The sequence below is a fragment of the Homo sapiens genome, chromosome 15 (assembly GCF_000001405.40).
Source record: "Homo sapiens chromosome 15, GRCh38.p14 Primary Assembly".
Lineage (NCBI taxonomy): Eukaryota > Metazoa > Chordata > Mammalia > Primates > Hominidae > Homo > Homo sapiens.
The window spans coordinates 23,755,257-23,758,701 of NC_000015.10; the positions used below are offsets into that span (position 1 = coordinate 23,755,257).

General features: G+C 42.1%; 1 annotated feature.

Annotated features, from left to right (window-relative positions):
* Window positions 1,361-2,560: an enhancer, noted in NCBI's record as "BRD4-independent group 4 enhancer chr15:24001764-24002963 (GRCh37/hg19 assembly coordinates)". NCBI's record gives its function as "activates an origin of replication core promoter dependent on BRD2, P300/CBP, MED14 and CDK7 cofactors, and independent of BRD4, by STARR-seq in HCT116 cells {active_cell/tissue: HCT116}" and the evidence as "EXISTENCE:reporter gene assay evidence [ECO:0000049][PMID:35650434]".

Sequence of the window (3,445 nt, forward strand, 5' to 3'; positions counted from 1 at the left end):
TCCTGGCTTCAAGTGATCCACCCACCTCGGCCTCCCAAAGTGTTTGGATTACAAGCATGAACCACCATGCCTGGCCCTCAGTGATTGATTTTTAAGATTTGTTTTTACTTCCAATCTCAGAAAGAGTCAATCACAGTTTTCCTTCATGTGAAAATGAGGATCCAATTTGCATGTATTGTTTTGCCACAGGGTTATGGAAATTTACAAGATTGCTCATTTAATTTGGCTAAAAGACACCTGGGACTTGATACAGATCCTAAGCATGATGATAAAACACACTGATGATATCGTGATAATATTTGAAACCAAAGAAGGTAGGACTGACTAAATACAGTGGTGGCATGCATGACTAACATAGGATGGTTGATAAATCCAGCAAAAATCAAAGGGCCTGCCTGAGTCATGAAATTCTTAAGAATAACCTTAGCAGGGGCCACCTGTGGCATACCACAGGCAACAAAAAATAATATATTGTCTGTGTTTTTGTGTGTGTATGTGTGTTGCTACAAAGGAATACTCAAGGCTGAGTAATTTGTAAAGAAAAGAGGTTTATTTGGCTCACAGTTCTGCAAGACATACAGGAAGCATGGTGCCAGCATTTGCTTCTGGGTATGGGCTTGAGGCTGCTTCCATTCATGGTGGAAGACAAATTGGAACCAGCGTGTGCAGAGATTACATGGCAACAGAGAAGCCAAGGGGTGGTCAGGGGAGATGTCCAGCTCTTTTTAACAACTAGCTTTCCTGGGAACTAATAAAGCGAGAACTCACTCACCCCTAGGGAGGGCATTGCGGTATTCATGAGGGATCCACTCCATAGCCTGAACACCTGCCATTAGGCCCCACCTCCAACACTGGGAAACAAATATCAACGTGAGGTTTGGAGGGGTGAAACATCCAAACGATACCCTTGTCACTGTCTACCTGCTGTAATTAAGGAATAAGCACAACATCTGGTTGGGTTGTTTGGATATTGGATGATGCATGTTGCAATCCAAGAATATTGCTAGCTCTTATACATAAAATTACCCCAGAAAGGAAAAATTTGAAATTGGGAACCAAACAATAGTAGGTATGTATGAACTGCAAAAATGGTGGTTCACACAATCCCTTTGGAACCTTATGATCTGCATTCAGATATAATTTTGGAAGTATCTACAACTTGCATTCATGCAGACTAGAGTTTATGGCCAAAGCCTGTTGGTGTCACTCACCAGTGATTGTTAGGATTTGGGGCCATAAAATTTCCACACATAATGATACATTAACACCATTTGAGAGACAATTATTGGCTTGCTATTAGACATCAATTGGAGCCACCCTCTATGAATAAGGGGCATAAAATAATCTTGAAACTTGAAATACCGTAATGTCTTGGATAACATCAGGGAAATGGTCTAACACGGAAGAGAGTGCCCAGAAGAGCTCCATAATAAAATGAAACTGATTGAAACAGGTTTATGCATTCAGAAGAATACAAGAAGGCACTACTCATCAGATTCATGGACATGTAGCCTGTTTTCCTCTAGGGCCAAATTTGGAACAACTAAGGAGCTGCCAGATTTTATTGCCACATGAGTGGTGCCCTATTGAGAGGTGAAGCCGGATGGGCTTCTGGGTGGAGTGGAAACTTGGAGAACTTTTCTGTCTAGCTAAAGGATTGTAAATGCACCAGTGAGCACTCTGTGTCTAGCTAAAGGTTTGTAAATACACCAATCAGCACTCTGTAAAAATGGACCAATCAGCACTCTGTAAAATGGACCAATCAGCCCTCTGTAAAATGGACCAATCAGCAGGATGTGGGTGGGGCCAAATAAGGGAATAAAAGCTGGCCACCTGAGCCAGCCCTGACAAGCCGCTGGGGTTACCGTCAACGGATGGAAGCTTTGTTCCTTCGCTCTTCGTGATAAATCTTGGTGTAGCTCACCCTTTGGGTCCACACTACTTTTAAGAGCTGTAACACTCACTGTGAAGGTGTGTGGCTTCTCTCCTGAAGTCAATGAGACCACGAAACCACCAGAAGGAAGAAACATTGGACACACCTGAACATCTGAAGGAACAAACTCCGGACATGCCGTGTTTAAGAACTGTACCACTCAGCGCGAGGGTCTGTGGCCTCATTCTTGAAGTCAGCGAGAGAAAGAACCCACTGGAAGGAACCAATTCTGGACACACAGTAAACAGCACTTGATTGGCCAACAGAAACCTATTTCGTTTACAAATGGTCGTTCCAAGGTGAATGGACAATATCCTGTTTGGAAGGCTGCCACACTATGACCAACTGTTGAAAAAACCCTGATTGACGATAAGAACAAAGCAGGTGAGTAGTCATAATTTCATGTTTTTTTTTTTTTTTGTAGAGATGAAATAGTTGAACAATAGCAAGAACCTTAATATTTAGGTCTTTACCCACTTATCAGTGGCATTGGCCTTACCATATGTTCAGGAAGATGGGCAATGCAGAACTGAATTATTAAAGGGATTCTTGTATGGGGCGTGATTCCATAGAAATCACTCTGTGAATTTAAGGGACACGTTAAAGTGACACATATTCATGCCCATGAGAAGAATTCCCCTTCATGATCGAAAGGTAATTGGAACCAACTAGTGGACTTCCTGGCAGGCTCACTTGAGTTAGCCGCTTTGGTGGGTGAAATGAGTGGACAAGGGGAGCTACAAGATGGGATGGATAGTCTGATCATTGATACACATCTCTTGCACTCTTCGAGGCACAAAATGACAACGAAAACTTTTCTGTCTAGCGGCAAGATAGACCAAGACTGTAGATGGCTATGGGGTAGATTCCCTGGTGGTCGGGGGTAAGGGAAGGTCTCACACATAGCTGGCAAGCAAGACTATGTCTTACCACACTGTAGTTCCAGGGGACTATGTAAGAGTCCTGAAAGGAATAGAGACTCAAGTGTGCTTTGCATACAGCCTAGTGGTGGATGCAAATGCTCCAAACACTTGTATGAAATCAAAGTACTATACCAATGTGGACTACTAAGTTACTTTTTTTCAGAACAGGGAACATGCTTACAGCCCATGGTGCCCAACAGTTAAAAATATTTCACATCAAATGTACATATCACCTGTTGGAGTACTTGGAACAGGAATTTGAAAGGTGTTGTCTAAAATGAGAGAAGATGAGGGTGAAGGGCTAGCTTATATACTTTGATAAAGTGCACACCATCAGAAAGGCCAAAAGGGGGCTTCCACTTGGTAGATTCCTCTGCTTTTCTGAGGGATCTGGGCAAAAAGAAATGGGGGAGGTTGTTACAATTCTTACCCGTATCATCTTACCTTTCTTTTTCTCTTGTTTTCCTTTTTGACACATGGGTCATTCACACTTTGTTGTAAAATATCCAAATATTGAGGAGGATTTCAACACTTCTTTCTTATACTAATTTTCAGTTTAATACTGTTTATATTGGAAAACATGCTTTGT